We start from the raw sequence: 17,728 nt of genomic DNA on the forward strand, positions 1-17,728 counted from the left end.
GCCCAGCATCTATTAGCTATTCTTCCTGATGTTCTCCTTTCTCCCACCCCTACCCTCTGACAGGCCCCATTGTGTGTTGTTCCCCCGATGTTTCCATGTGTTCCCATCATTCAGCTCCCACTTATAAGTGAGAACATGCAGTGTTTGGTTTTCTGCTCCTGTGTTAGTTTGCTGAGGATAAAGGCTTCCAATACCATCCATGACCCTGCAAAGGACATGATCTCATTCCTTTTTATGGCTGCATAGTATTCCATGGTCTATATGTGCCACATTTTCTTTATCCAGTCTATCATTGATGGGTATTTAGGTTGATTCCATGTCTTTGCTATCGTGAATAGTTACGTTTTCCTTTTTAGAAGTCTTATGTTTATATATCTTAATAATATAAAATAAATAGCCTATAAACCTTAAATATTCAATAAGGACTTTTAAAAAGTTAAAAACAAATTGCCATATACAAGGATAAAAACAGTGTAAAAATATTGTTTTATTTTTTCACACATATTTAATTGGTCTTACTATTAATTGTCACTACTTGTTATTAACTAGTCCTATTGTCTGGTTTAAATAACATTTATATAACAGAAAGGTAAATAAATCAGAATATATAATTTCAAATAAGCACCTATCTTCCATATTTTATGGTAATATTTTAAAATCAATGGCACATCCGTGTATAATTATTTATTATATATGGTATTATGGCTTTTGTATTCGTCTGGCATGGCATGGCATGGCTGTGTCCCGGGTTGTCTTTCTAAAATATTGGTGATCCTGTCTGTCACTTGCATCATGTTTCTTTTTTCTTCATCATCTTCTTCTTTTTTTTTTTGAGATGGAGTCTCTCTCTGAGCCCAGGTTGGAGTGCAATGGGGCAATCTTGGCTCACTGCAACCTCCGCCTCCGAGGTTCAAGCAATTCTCCTGCCTCAGCCTCCCAAGTAGCTGGGATTACAAACATCCCCCACTATTCCTGGCTAATTTTTGTATTTTTAGTAGAGAAGGGGTTTTGTCATATTGGCCAGGCTGGTCTCAAACTCCTGACCTCAGGTGATCCACCCACCTCGGCCTCCCAAAGTGCTGGGATTACAGGTGTGAGCCACCACGCCTGGCCCGGCATCATGTATCTATGGTTCCATCCACATGGCTGTCGTGCATATCAGTAGCTCAATCCTTTAGACTGCCGAGTGGTGTTCCATTGTATGGATACAATGAGCCCCTGGTGGTGGTGGTGGTGGTGGTGTTTTTATCCATTCACTAGCTGATGGATATTTGGGTTGTTTCCAGTTCTTGGTGATTATAAACATGTGCATAAAGGTTCTTGTGTGCACATTTTTATTTTTCTTGGGTAACTGCCTAAGTGCAGAATTCGTGGGTTATATTATGAATGTATGTTTTACTATGTGAGGAACTCCCAATTATCTTCCCAAGTGGCTGAACCATTTTTGCATTCCCACCAGCAGTGTATGAGCTGCTTTGCATGCTAGTTAGCACTTGATAATTTGTTTCATTTTTAAAAATTTTCAGCTATTCTAATAGATGTGTAGTGGTATTTTCTTATTTTAAAATTTTATAGCAGTCATTTTGATTGGCATTCACAACTGCCTCAGAGGGAACCAAGACAAAAAGAAAACATAAAGAAAGAAAATTCTGCCTGTGGAGCGGAAGAATGGGAACAGGTGCGGAAAGGGTCCCAGGAATGGGTATGACATTGAGCATATTCTGGGTAAAAAATCAGCTTTGGCTGAGGAAAAGTGCCCCAGGGAGGTGGGGGGTTATGTCAACCAGACTGCCCCCTCTCCCAGAGCTCAGACCCAGGGCTCTGAGAGTCCTCAGGTCTTCGTGTCTCAAGAGGAAAAAAGGAGTTGGGGTGGGGGGAGGGCAGAAAGAGTTCTGCCCTTTATTATTTATTATTTATTTATTTATTTATTTATTTATTTATTTATTTATTTGAGACAGGGTCTTGCTCTGTTGCCCAGGCTGGAGTGCAGAGACATGATCATGGCTCACTGCAGCCTGAAACTCCCTGGCTCAATCGATCCTCCCACCTCAGCCTCCTAAGTAGCTGGGACTACAGGCATGTGCCACCACGCCCAGCAAATTTTTTATTTTTTGTAGAGATGGGCTTTTGCCATGTTGCCTAGACCAATCTTGAACTCCTAGGCTCGAGCAATCCTCCTGCCTCAGCCTCCCAAAGTACTGGGATTACAGGTGTGAGCCACCACACCTGACCCAGAAAGCTTATTTTTGATGGGCAGTGTCCACGTCACCATACTGTGAGCTCCATGAAGGCAACCCATCGTCACTCTTGTCCCCTGCTCTGTTCCCACACCTGGCTTACTGCCTGTCTCATGGTTGGAGCCCAGGAGGTACTTATGGAGTGGATGGAATAATGAATATTTCTAGACCGCTGAAGCTGCTTTAGTGAACGTCACACAGAACAGTGACTGCACTCTTTCTGCCAGTCTAGTGAAAGCCCCCTTTGCTTGCCCTAGGCCCAGTTTATGACCCATCTTGTCATTTCTTCACCACCTCTCACACCTGTTCACTTTACTACCCCTTCCCTCACCACTGCTTCTTCTCTGGGCTGTTGACATAGCCTCCTTACAACTCTCACAGCCTCCCCCAGTCCTCTTCTGTCCCCCAGTTTCTAATCTGTCTTATCTTTGCCAGATGTTGGATTCATAAGCCTTGCTCTTATCCTGACCTGTCACATCAAAGCCCCTGTACTGGCTCTTGATATCCACAAAAGAAGAGCCAACAGGAAACTGGCCCCAGCTCCCTTCCTATATCCCAGCTCCCATTGGCCCTCTGGAGGGCTCTTGATTTTGGTCAAAGTCTATCTGCATGTTTGTTGTTGTTTTTTGTTTGTTTGTTTGTTTGTTTTTTGAGACGGAATCTCGCCCCGATGCCCAGCTGGATTGCAATGGCACGATCTTGGCTCACAGCAACCTCCACCTCCCAGGTTCAAGCGATTCTTCTGCCTCAGCCTCCTGTGTAGCTAGGATTACAGGTGCAACCACACCCTGCTAACTTTTTGTATCTTTAGTAGAGACGGGGTTTCACCATGTTGGCTAGGCTGGTCTTGAACTCCCGACCTCATGATCCGCCCATCTCGGCCTCCCAAAGTGCTGGGATTACAGGCATGAGCCACTGCGCCCAGCTGCCTTCATGTTTTTAAAACTGCCCTTTCCTGCTGAAACCGAACCTATCCTGTCTGCATGGCCTCTCAAAAGAACGAAAGAACCAGGGCTTCGGGATCAGAGAGATGTGGGTTCAAACTCTAGTCACCTATTTCCTAACCAAGGGGACATTGAAAAATTCCTTAACCTGAGTCTCAGTGCTCTTTTCTCTAGATGGGCAATAAAAAGTACCTACCTTTACTTGGGAGGCTGAGACAGGAGGATCCTTTGGGTCCAGGAAGTTGAGGCTGCAGTGAGCTATGAAGCACCACTATGCTCCAACCCGAGTGACAAAGGGAGACCTCATCTCTAAAACAAAACAAAACAAAAAAGTACCTACCCTGGGTTTGTGTAAGGAGATGGTATGTATAAAGGGGGCCTGGCATATACTAACAATGTAGGAATTTAAAACATAGTAGATATGATTTTTGGTAATTCCTGCCTAAAGAAAAAAAGGCTAAAAATAAGGGTATAATTAATTAATTGTTTTCTAATTCTTTCCCAGCCGTAACACTGAAGGTTGCTTCCCTAGGGAGGGAATTACCTGGGTAGAGATTAAGTGTGGGTGCTGCTGCCCCCAGCCTAATGGGTCACATGCCCTAAAGAGAAGCTGGTCAGTCACAATGCTCCCTCCAGCTCCTCTCTACCTTGGGATAGAGGCCTCATGGGTTAAAAGACCAACCAAACAACAACAGGACACAATAGAGAAAATAGCCAGTGAGGGAGAACTTTTTCATCCTTTCCCACAGACATATGGGATCATTTCATGTGTGAACATCATGAAGGAGGAAGACAAAGACAAACAGAAAGTGGTCCTCCTAACTGGGTGCTCCCTGAGGGAGAGGCATGAGCCTGATGATGATTGGAGATTGCTATGGTTTGTATAATAGTGTCTCCTCTGAAATTCATGTTGAAACAGAATGCCCCATGCAACAGTATTAAGAAGTGTGGTCTTGAGGTCGTGATTGAGTCACGAGGGCTCCATAATCATAAACGGATAGGGTTAGGGGGTTAGGGCTCTTATAAAAAGACTTGACAGGCCAGGTGTGGTGGCTCACGCCTGTAATCCCAGCACTTTGGGAGGCCGGGGCAGGTGGATCACCTGAGGTCAGGAGTTTGAGACCAGCCTGGCCAACATGGTGAAACCGTCTTTACTAAAAATACAAAAATTAGCCGGGCATGGTGGCAAATGCCTGTAATTCCGGCTACTTGGGAGGCTGAGGCAGGAGAATCACTTGAACCCAGGAGGCAGAGGTTGCAGTGAGCAGAAATCATGCCACTGAACTCCAGCCTGGGCAACAAGAGTGAAACACCATCTCAAAAAAAAAAAAAAAAAAAAAGACTTGACAGATGGAGTTCACTCTTTTACTGCCCTTCCATCCCTTCTGCTACTTGAGACCATGGCATTCCTTCCCTCTGGAGGATGCAGCAACAAGGTGCCATCTTGGAAGCAGGGAACAGCCCTCAGCAGACATAACCAAACCTGCTGGTGCCTTGCTCTTGGACTTTCCAGCCTCCAGAACTGCGAGAAAATTAATTTCTCTTTTTTATAAATGACCCAATCTCAGGTATTTTGTTATAGCAACAAAAATGAACTAAGACAGAGTTGCTCCAAGAAGAAGACGCTTAAAACCTTTCCAAAGCAAATGGGTCTCCTTGGAGTAGAAAGCTCCCCAACATCAATGAGATTCTAGAGGGAACATTATGATCACATATCAGGGAAGAGAGTGAAGCTTCAAATGGGCTCTGATTAGATGCTCTCTAAAGCCCAGCTTCATTCTGGGTTCTGCAACTGAAGAGGCTTTAGGGTTAAAAGGGCTTCCAGTTGCTTGAAAAGCAAAAATAAAAAGAAGAAGCTCATATGTCAATAAGGTAAGTCATTAAGAAAGTAGGTGCTTTTAATACCAGGTAATGTCAGCATAAGAATATGTATACAAAGGTGGGTTATTTTTAGTATTGGTTGAAGGCACATTATTCTTTTGACAATTAGAATAAAGAAAGCAATTAGAAACTCCAGGAAAATGAAAAGCTGTGCAGAAAAAGCTGTAGCCCAAATATAAAGCAAATGAAATGTGGCATGTCTTTGAGCAGCTGATGGAGCATAAGAAAATTGAATACATTTGACCTTGATGCTAAGGACCCCTTCTGAGCAGCCTGGGCATCATGACATTGGATCAGAAAGGAAAGAAATGTAATTCTTGGATATTCCTTGGCTCAGCGGTGACAGTGAACTGTACTCACACAGGCATGAGAATGTAATATTGGTTTATTGATTTTTTCAGAGTCAATTTATGGACAAAATGCAGCTGTTATAATAATGACTTCAGAATAGTATCTAAATGTTATCATCATTTAAAATGTAAAAGTAAGACTATTAAAGACTTGAGAGATAGAGGAGAGATAGAAGTCGGTTTCTTATTTTACATAGTGGGAAGTCATTCGATTGTATCTTCACTCTATGGAGTAGGATGTAGGTCTATTACTTAGAGCTCAAAGGTAACCAGTGGAAGAACCAAGAATATTTTAACTCGCAAAAACCAGGAGGAATGAAGAGTGATGAAAGGGAGCCATGCGTATGAACTAAAACCTTGTTTTTCCCAGCAGAGTGAATGAGTTTCCTAGGACTGCCATAACAAAGTATCAAAAACAGTGTGACTCGGCCGGGCGTGGTGGCTCACACCTGCAATCCCAGCATTTTGGGAGGCCAAGGCGGGCAAATCATCTGAGATCAGGAGTTCAAGACCAGCCTGGTCAATGTAGTGAAACCCTGTCTCCACTAAAAATACAAAAATTAGCCAGGCTTGGTGGCAGGAGCCTGTAATCCCAACTACTCAGGAGGCTGAGGCAGGAGAATCGCTTGAACTTGGGAGGTGGAGGTTGCGGTGAGCCACATCGCACCACTGTATTCCAGCCTGGGTGACAGAGCAAGACTTCATTAAAAATAAATAAATAAATAAATAAAAATAAAAAACAGTGTGACTCAAACAACAAAAATTTATCATCTCACAGTTCTGGAGGCTGAGGTTGAAATCAAGGTGTCAGCAGGGTTGGTTTCTGCAGGGGAGGATCTGTTCCAGGCCTCTCTACTAGGATCTGTTGCTTGCTGGCGATCTCTGGTGCTTGCAGATGCACGGCTCCACCAGCTGCTTTCATCTCCATTTTATGTTCTCCCTGTGTCTTCACCTTGTCTTCCTTCTGTATCCAAATTTCTCCTCTTTATGAGGACACCAAGAATTCTAAATTTTGAATTTGGCCTTCCACGTAGTTATTAAGACACATTTGTCATGGATTGGAGAACAGAACATATTAAATCTTTTGTAGAATTTATAACTTTAAAATATTTACACATATGGCCAGATGTGGTGTCTCATGCCTGTAATCCCAGCATTTTGGGAGGCCAAGGCAGACGGATCACCTGAGATCAGGAGTTCAAGTCCAGCCTGGCCAACATGGCCAAACCCCGTCTCTACAAAAATACAAAAATTAACCAGGCGTGGTGATGGGCACCTGTAATGCCAGCTACTTGGGAGGCTGAGGCAAGAGAATCACTTGAACCCAGGAGGCGGAGGTTGCAATGAGCCAAGATCATGCCACTGCATTCCAGCCTGGGCGACAGACCCAATCTCAGGTATTTTGTTATAGCAAGACAAGAGTGAGACTCTGTCTCAAAAAAAAAAAAAGAAAAGAAAAGAAAAGAAAATAGGCCAGGCGAAGTGGCTCACACCTGCAATCCCAGCACTTTGGGAGGCCGAGGCGGGTGGATCACATGAGGTCAGGAGTTTGAGGCCAGCCTGACCAACATGGAGAAACCCTGTCTCTACTAAAAATACAAAAATAGCTGGGCGTGGTGGTGCGTGCCTGTAATCCCAGCTGCTCAGGAGGCTGAGGAAGGAGAATCACCTGAACCTGGGAGGCAGAGGTTGCAGTGAGCCGAGATCGCACCATTGCACTCCAACCTGGGCAAGAAGAGTGAAACTCCATCTCAAAAATAAATAAATAAATAAATAAATAAAATATTTACACATATGGTATATGGGCCTCCAATTATTCTTTTGTCACAGGCCCTGCAAATGTTATGGGCAGGCCTGACGTGTGTAACCACAGCCGAAGAAGAACCAGAAACCATCAGTTGTTGCTCTGGAGAGTGCATAAGAGAAGGCGAGGGTGGGAGAAGGAGGATCGTAGTGTTTTGTTAGAGGCCTCTCTGTCAATGTGATGCTCTGTTTTGCCATTTGCATGCTTCACTTCAATAAAACTTATGAAAATTATCCAAGTTCTCACCTCCTCCCTTGAGTCTTCCTGATCCGCAGCTCTCACCTCTCTTCTCTCAGCTTCTACAACCCTCAGCAGCTGTGCCGCCTTCTGTCCTGCTTGGCCTGCTCTCCCAGAGGCCCCTGAAGACAATACCACCTCCCCAGGCCCACTGGCCACCTGTCTTCTTGTCTCCCCCGAGAGGTTCCCTGGGCTGAGGTCAGCACAGCCTGCTTGCCCTGCCTCCTCTTGGTCAGCATTCTCTGCCAGAGCTTCTCTCCTCCCTCCATCTCTAGCCTGGTGCTCCCACCTGTACCTCCTGGTAGCCCCTCAGGGTTGGGAGAAGGCCAAGCTCTGCCCACAGTCTCTGTCTGGTGGCTGGGGGTGGGTGGGGAGGTGTTGCATGGAACAGCGCTGCAGCCTCACCTCTTCGTGAGAAGCAGGTGTCTGCCAAGCCAGATGGGTTTCTGCTGTCAGTGAGAGGCTCCACCTTCCTCCTGACTGTCCCAGGCCTTTGCCACCACTGTTCTCTTTATGTCTCAGTCTCCCTCCCTCCCCCTTCCCTCACCCTCGCTTTCTGCTGGGTCCCCCCGTTTCTCCTTTTCTCTCTCTCTGCATTACCCTCCAAGCCCTTTACCCTCAATTCCATCTTCCCCTGGAGCAGAGGGATTATTGTGACTCCCCCATTCCAGACCCCAGATCCTGCTTCATCCTCAGGGTTAAACTAACCCTGCCCCACCCACTCAACCTGCACCCGCGTCTAATCCAGACCCTTCATGCTGACCCCTAACAAATGGCCCTTGGCCCATTCCTAGTGCCCCACAGCTAACAGAGGGTCGTGATCCTGACCCTATAGCACTGGTTCCAATCTAGAACTTTAAACTGAACACTCACTGTCATTCATAACACTCCCCAGTCCCACCCCTACCCTTTGGGAAGGGCTGGGGCTGAAAACTCGAGGTCTGTGATGTATCCTGGGGGTGCGGCCAAGTTCTGCATTCCTGGAAACTGGGACTGGCTTGGGGAAAAACAAAAATAATTCCTATGAAGTATGCTTCAATTGGTGCTACTGCTGAAAATAGTCCCTGAGGATGAACATGAAGGTCAGGAGAGAGCAGTGGGAATGGTGCCAGGAGAGGGGACCAGAAAAGTGGCTGGAGATGGCCCTGAGTGGAAGGGCAGTGACAGTCAGCAGGGAGGGCTTAGGAGGCCCTGGGCAGACGGAGGAGGGAGGAGAGAGGGGGGCAAAGGCTCCAGCTGGAAGGTCAAGGTTATTGTTCATTCATTCCTTTGTTCAGCAACTATTTGTTAAGCACCTACTAAGTGGCAGGCCCTTTGCTGGGCACTAGGGGGATAGCAGTGGACAGAACGAAGTACCCACCTGTGTGGAGCTCACATTCAGATTGCGGAGATAGACAGGAAACACACTAACAGAGATGTCAGGGGAGGGGAGGGAAGAAGGACAAGTAAGGCAAGGTGAGGAGACAGCAAGGGACAAAGACTGTTTATATAGAGTGGCCTGGGAAGGCCTTTCTGGGGAGCTGGCATTTGAACAAACCTCAAAAGACAAGAGGAAGGGAGCCCTGCAGGTGTGGACAGACTTTGTCCAGTTAGAGGAAATAGTAGGAGCAGCAGCCCCAAGGTGGGAGCAGGGCACACGTGGGGCTGCACACAGTGAGCAGGGCCAGAGCAAAGGGGGGTGAGGCCAGGGAAAGTGGCCAGGTTGCCCACCAAGGCTCACCTGGGTTCCTAGGTCAGAGATCCTGAGAAGAGGGGAGAAGCCCTCATGCCCAAGTGGTGGGAAGGGGTGGAGGAGAATGGGGAGGAAATGGGAGTGAGGCCACCCCAGGTAAGGTCAGCTGCAACCTCTGGGCTAGGGTGACGCCAGAAGAGAAGATAGGGCCTGCAGTGCCTCTCCCCCATCCACAGCCCTGGGTGCACATGCCACGAGCTCCTGCTCACTCCACCTCACATCCCCACACTTGTGCATGAACAACACACACACATGGAGAATAGTCACAGGCTCACCTTTCACATGCATGCACACAGAAATTGTGCATGAACACACGCATGCACACGGGCCCCTTGTGTTAGTGTAGACATTTTTGAGAATTCTAAACAGGCAGAATATAGGGGCCAAAGGACTTTAGACCAACTCTCACGTATGACAGAGGCACTAAGGCCTAGAAAAAGGAAGCCTCATAATTTGGTGACCTAGGCAGATCACTCTATGTCCCCCCATGCATGTGCATGTTGTGTGTGTGTGCGCGCGCACACACACACACACACACATGCACGCACGCAGTCCCACCAGCTGTCCAAAGCTCCTTCCATAACCCTATCTTCTCAACAGCCTCTCTCTCCCAGGACACCCACAGGCTTAACCAAGTCCCACCAGGAGTGCCCCGAGTTTCCTCCCAGCTATTCCAGCAGGCTGCTGGGGGGAATACAGTGTCGGGACCAAGATAGACTCTGCCCCTCTTGGTGGGATGGCTACAGCCCACAACCACAGCTGACCACAGCAGCCCCCGACTGCCTCTCTCCTCTCAGAGCCTGTTTCCGGGTTCAGACCTTCTTCCTCCATCTCTCTTTCTGGGTCTTTCTCCCTTGCTTCCTTTCTCTACCTCCAGAAAGGAGGCTGTGATTCTCTGTTTTTCCCTCTCTTTCCTGGTGTCTCTCTCATTTCTCTGTTTCTCTCCAGTTTTCTGTCTCTGCTGGGCTTGTCCCTCTCGCTCCATCTTCTCATCAGGATCTTTTTTTTTGCCTTCCAGGAAAAGCTGACGTGGTGCCCCTGGTCAGTGGGAGTGAGGCCTTCTGGGGTGGGGGAGTCCTGGTTGAGCAGCCACAGCTGGGGTGCGGCTGGCGCCCTGGCTAGGGGCAGCAGGAGCAGGAGCAGAGCGAGAGGCAGCGGAATGGGAGGAGAGAGGGCTGGACCTCTGCAGGCAGGAAGGGGAGCAGGGGGAAAGAAAAACTGTGGGAGGGAGTGAGCCCCCCTCCCCTGCTAGGGTGACCAACTGTACTGGTTTGCTGAGACTGTCTCGATTTTAGCATGGAAAGTCCCATGTCCCAGAAAACCCATCAGTTCCAGGTGAACCAGGACTGTTGGCTGGTCACCCTACAAGCTGCCAGGGACCCACAGGAGACAGGGCCAGGACTCACAGGAGGGGCTCCCAAGCTTGGCCTCCTAGTTCTGGGGACAGTCAGGGCCGCACATACTCACCAAGGGTCCCCATCTCAGGCCTGAGCCCAATTTAGAGGAGGCCAGGAGAGGGGAGATGGCAGCCCAGACAGCCCACAGGAAGCTCCCAGCCTGAAAAGATCAGGGAGCCCGACTTCTGACTTGTCTCCCTGCCTGCTGGCATGATCTCCTGTGAGGTGGGCTTTACAGAAAGAACTTGAGCTCTGACAGCAAGAGAAGAGCAGAGGGGCAACCCAGGAGGTCATACGCCCCATCCTCAGAGGCCTGCACAACTGCTCCTGGGCTCTGCTGAGGAGCAGGCCCACCTGTCCCACTGTGAGACACCTTGGAGAGTCAATAGTCCTTGGCTGAGATCCTGGCGGCCTTATTGTCCTTCCTGGTGGAAGCGGGTATGGCCACACCTTGCAGGCAGTGGCAGGACCTGAGCAGACCAGGAAGATACATCAGTGACCAGCACGCACAGTCTCATTTCTGCCCAGGTGGGCTGGTCCCTCCCACTTTTCCCGCCCTCAGCCCCCCACATCTGTTTTGAGGTGGGAGTCTGAGCTTAGTGTTTGGCTGTCATTAAGGTCTTAGGTAGGGAATGAGGGGACAGACTCCCTGCCCCCAGAAGGCTGCTGACATACTCACCCACCCAACAGAGCATGGGTCTCCTACACTGTATGAAATATTCTCTAAAATGTCTTGGGCATGCCCCTTCCCTAGCCTGGGCCCAAAGGCCCTATCTGTAAGTTGATGAGGAGATGAAGTGGGTGAGCTCTAAAATGCTTCCTTCTGATGACCACCCAACTTGTCCATCATGCCATGAAGGGGGCGCTTACAGAGTGTCTTCCCTGTGCTGGAGATCAATAGCACCTGGGAAGTTAAGGCCTCTGCCCTCAGTGGGCTTCCTCTCTAGTAAGGGGTCGCACATTAAGCACGCATGAATAAATAATCACAGCTTATAGGAGGAGCTATGAAGAAAAGTCAGGAATGTCTGAGAGAACAGTCACTGGGAACTGAGGGCTGAGGAGGTGCTTGTACTCTGACCCTGATGTGCTTGCAAGGAGGGAGGTGGGGTGGGAACTATGAGCTCCTCAGAGCACCCTGGAGGTAAAGCTGGTGGCACAGACTTTGTGCAGGTGAGGGTGTGTGTATGGGCTGTGCAGAACATAGTGAAGCCCCCTCCACCAGGAAGCCCTCCCTGACTGACACTGAGGTCACTGAGTCTCCCCTCTGGTTTACTGAACCCTGGATGTGTTTCTTGCAGCCTCTGGTTGGCCCACCAAATTCAGGACTTTCCTAGAAATTCTCCAGCACAGTCAGGATGATGCAAGAGAGGGCTTCCTCTGCAGGGGAAAGAGAGGGTGCTCTCCATTGGACCATAATAATATCCTCAGCATCAGACTCGGGTGTTTTGCAGGCAGCATGCTGGGGACTTCTGTGGCCTTGCTTGGTGACAGGGAATGGGGTGTGATGAGCTGGGGCAGGCTTCCTGGGGATGCTTTCAGCCAAAGATGAGCCCTGTCTGCCCTTGGCCCTGCTGAGAGGGTAAGTTGAGTCATGAGCAGAATTCAACCAGTTATCAGATGGAAGGCCAAGGAAGCTTGGGGAGGGCTACTGAGGGGATACGGTAGGCTTGTCTGTGGAGAGCAAAATTCTTCAGTCTACAAAGTTCTTTTCTGGGCTCCTTCATCTTTCGGTTTCTCTTCCAGCTCCCTCGTTTTGGGCCTCTTTTGTTTCCCCATTCCCCTCCCCTGGGCCTTCCCGTTTGGAAAAGGGGTCACATATCCTCACCCTGGAGGCGTCTGCCCCTTCCACACAGTTGGTGTTGGAACAGTGGAGCTCAGAGAGGCCGATGCTGACCGCGTAGATGTCCAGCACCAACAGTGGGATTTTGGGCCCTGTGGGGGACACAGAGAGAACTCTCCGGGAGTGCGGCCCCTTGGCCTCCCCTCTGGGTGCCCAGTGGGCAGTGGGCCTGGGTGGCTCAGAATCCCAGCCAGGAGCACTGAAGGTCAACAGGCTCCCGCCCTGAGTTTTCTGAGCCAGGCCTCCCTGTTTCCTCCCCAGCCAGTGGGGAGCGCAGTGAGGGGCGGGGCCTGGAGTCTTGGGAGCTCCCTGGACAACAACATGCATTTAGCGCAGCTCAGTCTCAGAGCCAGCAGGATATGTTTTCTTAAAAAAAAAAAAAATGCCTAACATCTTGGCTTTCACCGAAGGGTTGGTATCTGCTTTGTACACTTTGGCCTTCTTGGCTTTTCACTGAAACACACACACATGGATGCACACTCACTTCCACACACAAACCCACACCAAGACAGACACACACACACACTCACACACAAACTCATGTACATGGTTTCATACCCACATCCATGCAAACACACATACAAATCCAGAAATACGCACCCTCACACCCACAAACTTGTACACACACACACACGTATACACACCAACACACATACAACCCTGGCTTGGACAAAAGCTTCCCGTTTTTTCTTGTTTGAAGTGGAAATCTCCCACCTTCCATGAGATTCAATTTCTCGCCCTTCCCCCGCTAAAATCCTCCTGGCCCCATCATTTCTTGGGTCCTTTCCAGACAGTGCTGTGTCTTTAAGGAAGTTGAAGCTGCTAAAAGTGAGTGAGAGAGAGAGAAAAAACACAACCCAAAAAAATTTGGCATCTCTTCCCCCCTCAAGTTTCTGGTGTCACTTATGAAACACAGGTCCTTGTTGCTGCAGAGAAGCAGTTGTTTTGCTGGAAGGAGGGAGTGCGCGGGCTGCCCCGGGCTCCTCCCTGCCGCCTCCTCTCAGTGGATGGTTCCAGGCACCCTGTCTGGGGCAGGGAGGGCACAGGCCTGCACATCGAAGGTGGGGTGGGACCAGGCTGCCCCTCGCCCCAGCATCCAAGTCCTCCCTTGGGCGCCCGTGGCCCTGCAGACTCTCAGGGCTAAGGTCCTCTGTTGCTTTTTGGTTCCACCTTAGAAGAGGCTCCGCTTGACTAAGAGTAGCTTGAAGGTAAGCCAGTGGGGAGGAGGGCTCCAGGGCCAGCGGCGGGAGCGGGAGGCCTGTTGGACATAGGGGCTGGTTCCCTCTTGGTCCATCCCTGCTGGTCTGAGGTGCGTGGGACAATCCCTAGCTTGGAGCCGTCCAGGGGGCATCTGCTTCTTCCACAACCCACAACTGAGGCCCCAGAAATCCCAGCTGCGTTTGGGCTGAGCCTCTGGCCTCACCCAAGTCAGCTGAGAGGTCCTGGCGGGGGTTTATTTAGGCAGCTGCCTGGCTAAGTTTGAACAGAACAGGCCACGGGTGTGATTCCACAGAAAAGGCCTGGTGTCTGCTGCGGTCATGGCCGGAGGAGCGGGAGAGGGCGGGTGGAGTGGATGGGGGTGGTGTGCACTGCACAAGGGGCCTCGTCTGGGCCAAGGCAAAGCATACCTATGGGGGGCTCCGGTGGGAGGGACTGCGGCCAGGATGTGGGAGGGCAGGGGGAGGTTCTGCAAAGTGCTGGGGGAGGGGGGTGGCTGGAAAACAGATTTCAAGTCATAAAGTCAGCTAGGAACAGGCCGAGGCAGGGAGAACTCTCCACTCGGAGGAGGAGCTGGGGTCCTCTTCCATCCCGTCTTCATCCTGCCTGGCTGCGTGACCTCGGGCAAGTCTCCGCCCTTCTCTTGGCCTCAGTTTCTCCTTCCGTAGGATGGGGGCGGTGGGCTAGGTGGTGTTGGGATTTAGCTGGGTTATGTGGGACAGGGCCTCCTGATGGGAAAGAGCTCTGGCTGGGCTTGTGGGAGGAATGAGTCCCTTTGGCAGGTTCTCGGGATCCCCTGGGTGACATGCCTTTCTCTGCAGGAGGCACCATGCAGGAGCTGCATCTGCTCTGGTGGGCGCTTCTCCTGGGCCTGGCTCAGGCCTGCCCTGAGCCCTGCGACTGTGGGGAAAAGTATGGCTTCCAGATCGCCGACTGTGCCTACCGCGACCTAGAATCCGTGCCGCCTGGCTTCCCGGCCAATGTGACTACACTGAGCCTGTCAGCCAACCGGCTGCCAGGCTTGCCGGAGGGTGCCTTCAGGGAGGTGCCCCTGCTGCAGTCGCTGTGGCTGGCACACAATGAGATCCGCACGGTGGCCGCCGGAGCCCTGGCCTCTCTGAGCCATCTCAAGAGCCTGGACCTCAGCCACAATCTCATCTCTGACTTTGCCTGGAGCGACCTGCACAACCTCAGTGCCCTCCAATTGCTCAAGATGGACAGCAACGAGCTGACCTTCATCCCCCGCGACGCCTTCCGCAGCCTCCGTGCTCTGCGCTCGCTGCAACTCAACCACAACCGCTTGCACACATTGGCCGAGGGCACCTTCACCCCGCTCACCGCGCTGTCCCACCTGCAGATCAACGAGAACCCCTTCGACTGCACCTGCGGCATCGTGTGGCTCAAGACATGGGCCCTGACCACGGCCGTGTCCATCCCGGAGCAGGACAACATCGCCTGCACCTCACCCCATGTGCTCAAGGGTACGCCGCTGAGCCGCCTGCCGCCACTGCCATGCTCGGCGCCCTCAGTGCAGCTCAGCTACCAACCCAGCCAGGATGGTGCCGAGCTGCGGCCTGGTTTTGTGCTGGCACTGCACTGTGATGTGGACGGGCAGCCGGCCCCTCAGCTTCACTGGCACATCCAGATACCCAGTGGCATTGTGGAGATCACCAGCCCCAACGTGGGCACTGATGGGCGTGCCCTGCCTGGCACCCCTGTGGCCAGCTCCCAGCCGCGCTTCCAGGCCTTTGCCAATGGCAGCCTGCTTATCCCCGACTTTGGCAAGCTGGAGGAAGGCACCTACAGCTGCCTGGCCACCAATGAGCTGGGCAGTGCTGAGAGCTCAGTGGACGTGGCACTGGCCACGCCCGGTGAGGGTGGTGAGGACACACTGGGGCGCAGGTTCCATGGCAAAGCGGTTGAGGGAAAGGGCTGCTATACGGTTGACAACGAGGTGCAGCCATCAGGGCCGGAGGACAATGTGGTCATCATCTACCTCAGCCGTGCTGGGAACCCTGAGGCTGCAGTCGCAGAAGGGGTCCCTGGGCAGCTGCCCCCAGGCCTGCTCCTGCTGGGCCAAAGCCTCCTCCTCTTCTTCTTCCTCACCTCCTTCTAGCCCCACCCAGGGCTTCCCTAACTCCTCCCCTTGCCCCTACCAATGCCCCTTTAAGTGCTGCAGGGGTCTGGGGTTGGCAACTCCTGAGGCCTGCATGGGTGACTTCACATTTTCCTACCTCTCCTTCTAATCTCTTCTAGAGCACCTGCTATCCCCAACTTCTAGACCTGCTCCAAACTAGTGACTAGGATAGAATTTGATCCCCTAACTCACTGTCTGCGGTGCTCATTGCTGCTAACAGCATTGCCTGTGCTCTCCTCTCAGGGGCAGCATGCTAACGGGGCGACGTCCTAATCCAACTGGGAGAAGCCTCAGTGGTGGAATTCCAGGCACTGTGACTGTCAAGCTGGCAAGGGCCAGGATTGGGGGAATGGAGCTGGGGCTTAGCTGGGAGGTGGTCTGAAGCAGACAGGGAATGGGAGAGGAGGATGGGAAGTAGACAGTGGCTGGTATGGCTCTGAGGCTCCCTGGGGCCTGCTCAAGCTCCTCCTGCTCCTTGCTGTTTTCTGATGATTTGGGGGCTTGGGAGTCCCTTTGTCCTCATCTGAGACTGAAATGTGGGGATCCAGGATGGCCTTCCTTCCTCTTACCCTTCCTCCCTCAGCCTGCAACCTCTATCCTGGAACCTGTCCTCCCTTTCTCCCCAACTATGCATCTGTTGTCTGCTCCTCTGCAAAGGCCAGCCAGCTTGGGAGCAGCAGAGAAATAAACAGCATTTCTGATGCCCCTCCGTGTCTGCCTGGAATTTTGTCTGGATCTAGGAGCCTCTGCTGGGAGATAGGATCAGGAGCTGAAGAGTCAGGGCAGCCAGCCTGCCTGCCCACAGTGGCAGGGGCCTCTGAGACTCCAACAGACTGTGGAGGCACAGGAGTGCTGGCCCGATGCTGTGTCAGGGGCTGGGCCTTGCGGTGAGCTGAGCTGCAGATGTTCCCTTCCTCCAAACCATCCCACAGGACAGCTGGGGGCAGGAGCCTGGGGTGGCTGGCGACCCTGAGCAGCGCCTGATGTCAGCAGTGGCTTCAAGAGAGGCATTTTGGAAAGGCGCAAGGAAATGGAAGTGCCTGGGTGGTAGCTCCTCTTCCCTGTCCTGCTCCTGGAAGAGATGTTAGGAATGAAGAGGAAAGAGGGGACAGGTGGGGCAAGATGGAGGAGACAGATGAGGAGAAGGGGACACAGGACAGAGGAGGAGAAAGCCCCAGAGAGACTGGGAATAAGAGAACATATTTACATATTTGAGGGAGAAACCAGGGGGGAAACAAATCGTACTTATCTTTCTCCCAAAGAAGAAATGGTATTCCAAGAGGAAAGTCCAAATGAGGACTGCAGATTCCCTGTAGGAATCTTTCCCCACAGAGCAAGTGGATCAGTAACTGGCCTGGGCCGTGTGTGTGTGTGTGTGTGTGTGTGTGTGTGTGTGTGTACAGCAACCTGAGCGGTGCGTGTGTGTGTGTGTACAGCAACCTTCAGCCTCTCCAGTGCATGTGTGTGTGTGTGTGTACAGCAACCTTCAGCCTCTCCAGATGAGGAGCATAAGGATGAGGTCCTAACCTGGAGACTCTGCACAACCTCCTATCTGTGCCAGGTAGGATATATGTCTTCCTACTGCCTCTATCCCATCCCTTTCAAGATCGAGGATGCTGCATGCAGAGACAATGGCCTGGGGGAGAGGCTCTGTGGCCTTTCTCCAGAGCTCCCAGAACTGCTGAGCTCAGCAAAGTGGAGGCAGGATGCTAAGGAGTCTGGGGTAGCAGCTGTGAGCCTTGGCTGCTGGCCAGCCCCATTCCCTCCCTCCAGGTCCACATACAGCACCTCCCCCTGCCCACTCTCCCCTCATCAACTTGCAGCTCCTGCTGAGCTGATGTCACCAGCAGCATGTATCAAGAATGACTCCTAATCTAAAATAAAAGTTGAAAAAAATGACTCACGTCTGGTGGAAAACAGCAGGATGGAGCCAAATTCCATGCGCTAGGCC

The 17,728-nt window shown here is 51.2% G+C and overlaps 1 protein-coding gene across 2 annotated transcripts, besides 5 other annotated features; it reads left to right on the forward strand.

The window, feature by feature from the left end:
- Window positions 7,826-8,005: an enhancer, noted in NCBI's record as "active region_9744". NCBI's record gives its function as "activates an Ori minimal core promoter by ATAC-STARR-seq in GM12878 lymphoblastoid cells {active_cell/tissue: GM12878}" and the evidence as "EXISTENCE:reporter gene assay evidence [ECO:0000049][PMID:35858748]".
- Window positions 12,066-13,054: an enhancer, noted in NCBI's record as "H3K4me1 hESC enhancer chr15:74464796-74465784 (GRCh37/hg19 assembly coordinates)". NCBI's record gives its function as "activates a minimal SCP1, AML or CMV promoter by ChIP-STARR-seq in primed H9 embryonic stem cells {active_cell/tissue: H9 hESC(primed)}" and the evidence as "EXISTENCE:reporter gene assay evidence [ECO:0000049][PMID:30033119]".
- Window positions 13,055-14,042: an enhancer, noted in NCBI's record as "H3K4me1 hESC enhancer chr15:74465785-74466772 (GRCh37/hg19 assembly coordinates)". NCBI's record gives its function as "activates a minimal SCP1, AML or CMV promoter by ChIP-STARR-seq in primed H9 embryonic stem cells {active_cell/tissue: H9 hESC(primed)}" and the evidence as "EXISTENCE:reporter gene assay evidence [ECO:0000049][PMID:30033119]".
- On the forward strand, window positions 13,321-16,482 carry ISLR (immunoglobulin superfamily containing leucine rich repeat). Of its 2 annotated transcripts, none has more exons than NM_005545.4 (2): window positions 13,321-13,630; window positions 14,462-16,482. In NM_005545.4, the coding sequence occupies exon 2, from the start codon at window positions 14,470-14,472 to the stop codon at window positions 15,754-15,756; it is 1,287 nt and encodes a 428-aa protein (NP_005536.1). In that variant the 5' UTR covers window positions 13,321-13,630; window positions 14,462-14,469; the 3' UTR covers window positions 15,757-16,482. The 2 variants fall into 2 exon arrangements, with proteins under 2 accessions (NP_005536.1, NP_958934.1); NM_201526.2 differs by lacking the exon at window positions 13,321-13,630 and adding an exon at window positions 14,158-14,264.
- Window positions 14,043-15,031: an enhancer, noted in NCBI's record as "H3K4me1 hESC enhancer chr15:74466773-74467761 (GRCh37/hg19 assembly coordinates)". NCBI's record gives its function as "activates a minimal SCP1, AML or CMV promoter by ChIP-STARR-seq in naive H9 embryonic stem cells {active_cell/tissue: H9 hESC(naive)}" and the evidence as "EXISTENCE:reporter gene assay evidence [ECO:0000049][PMID:30033119]".
- Window positions 16,139-16,655: an enhancer, noted in NCBI's record as "H3K4me1 hESC enhancer chr15:74468869-74469385 (GRCh37/hg19 assembly coordinates)". NCBI's record gives its function as "activates a minimal SCP1, AML or CMV promoter by ChIP-STARR-seq in naive H9 embryonic stem cells {active_cell/tissue: H9 hESC(naive)}" and the evidence as "EXISTENCE:reporter gene assay evidence [ECO:0000049][PMID:30033119]".

Source organism: Homo sapiens, chromosome 15 (genome assembly GCF_000001405.40).
Source record: "Homo sapiens chromosome 15, GRCh38.p14 Primary Assembly".
Taxonomy (NCBI): Eukaryota; Metazoa; Chordata; class Mammalia; order Primates; family Hominidae; genus Homo; species Homo sapiens.

What these genes read in the sequence shown, in the direction of transcription:
- ISLR (NM_005545.4), top strand. Translation starts at nt 14,470, where the DNA reads ATGCAGGAGCTGCATCTGCTCTGGTGGGCGCTTCTCCTGGGCCTGGCT.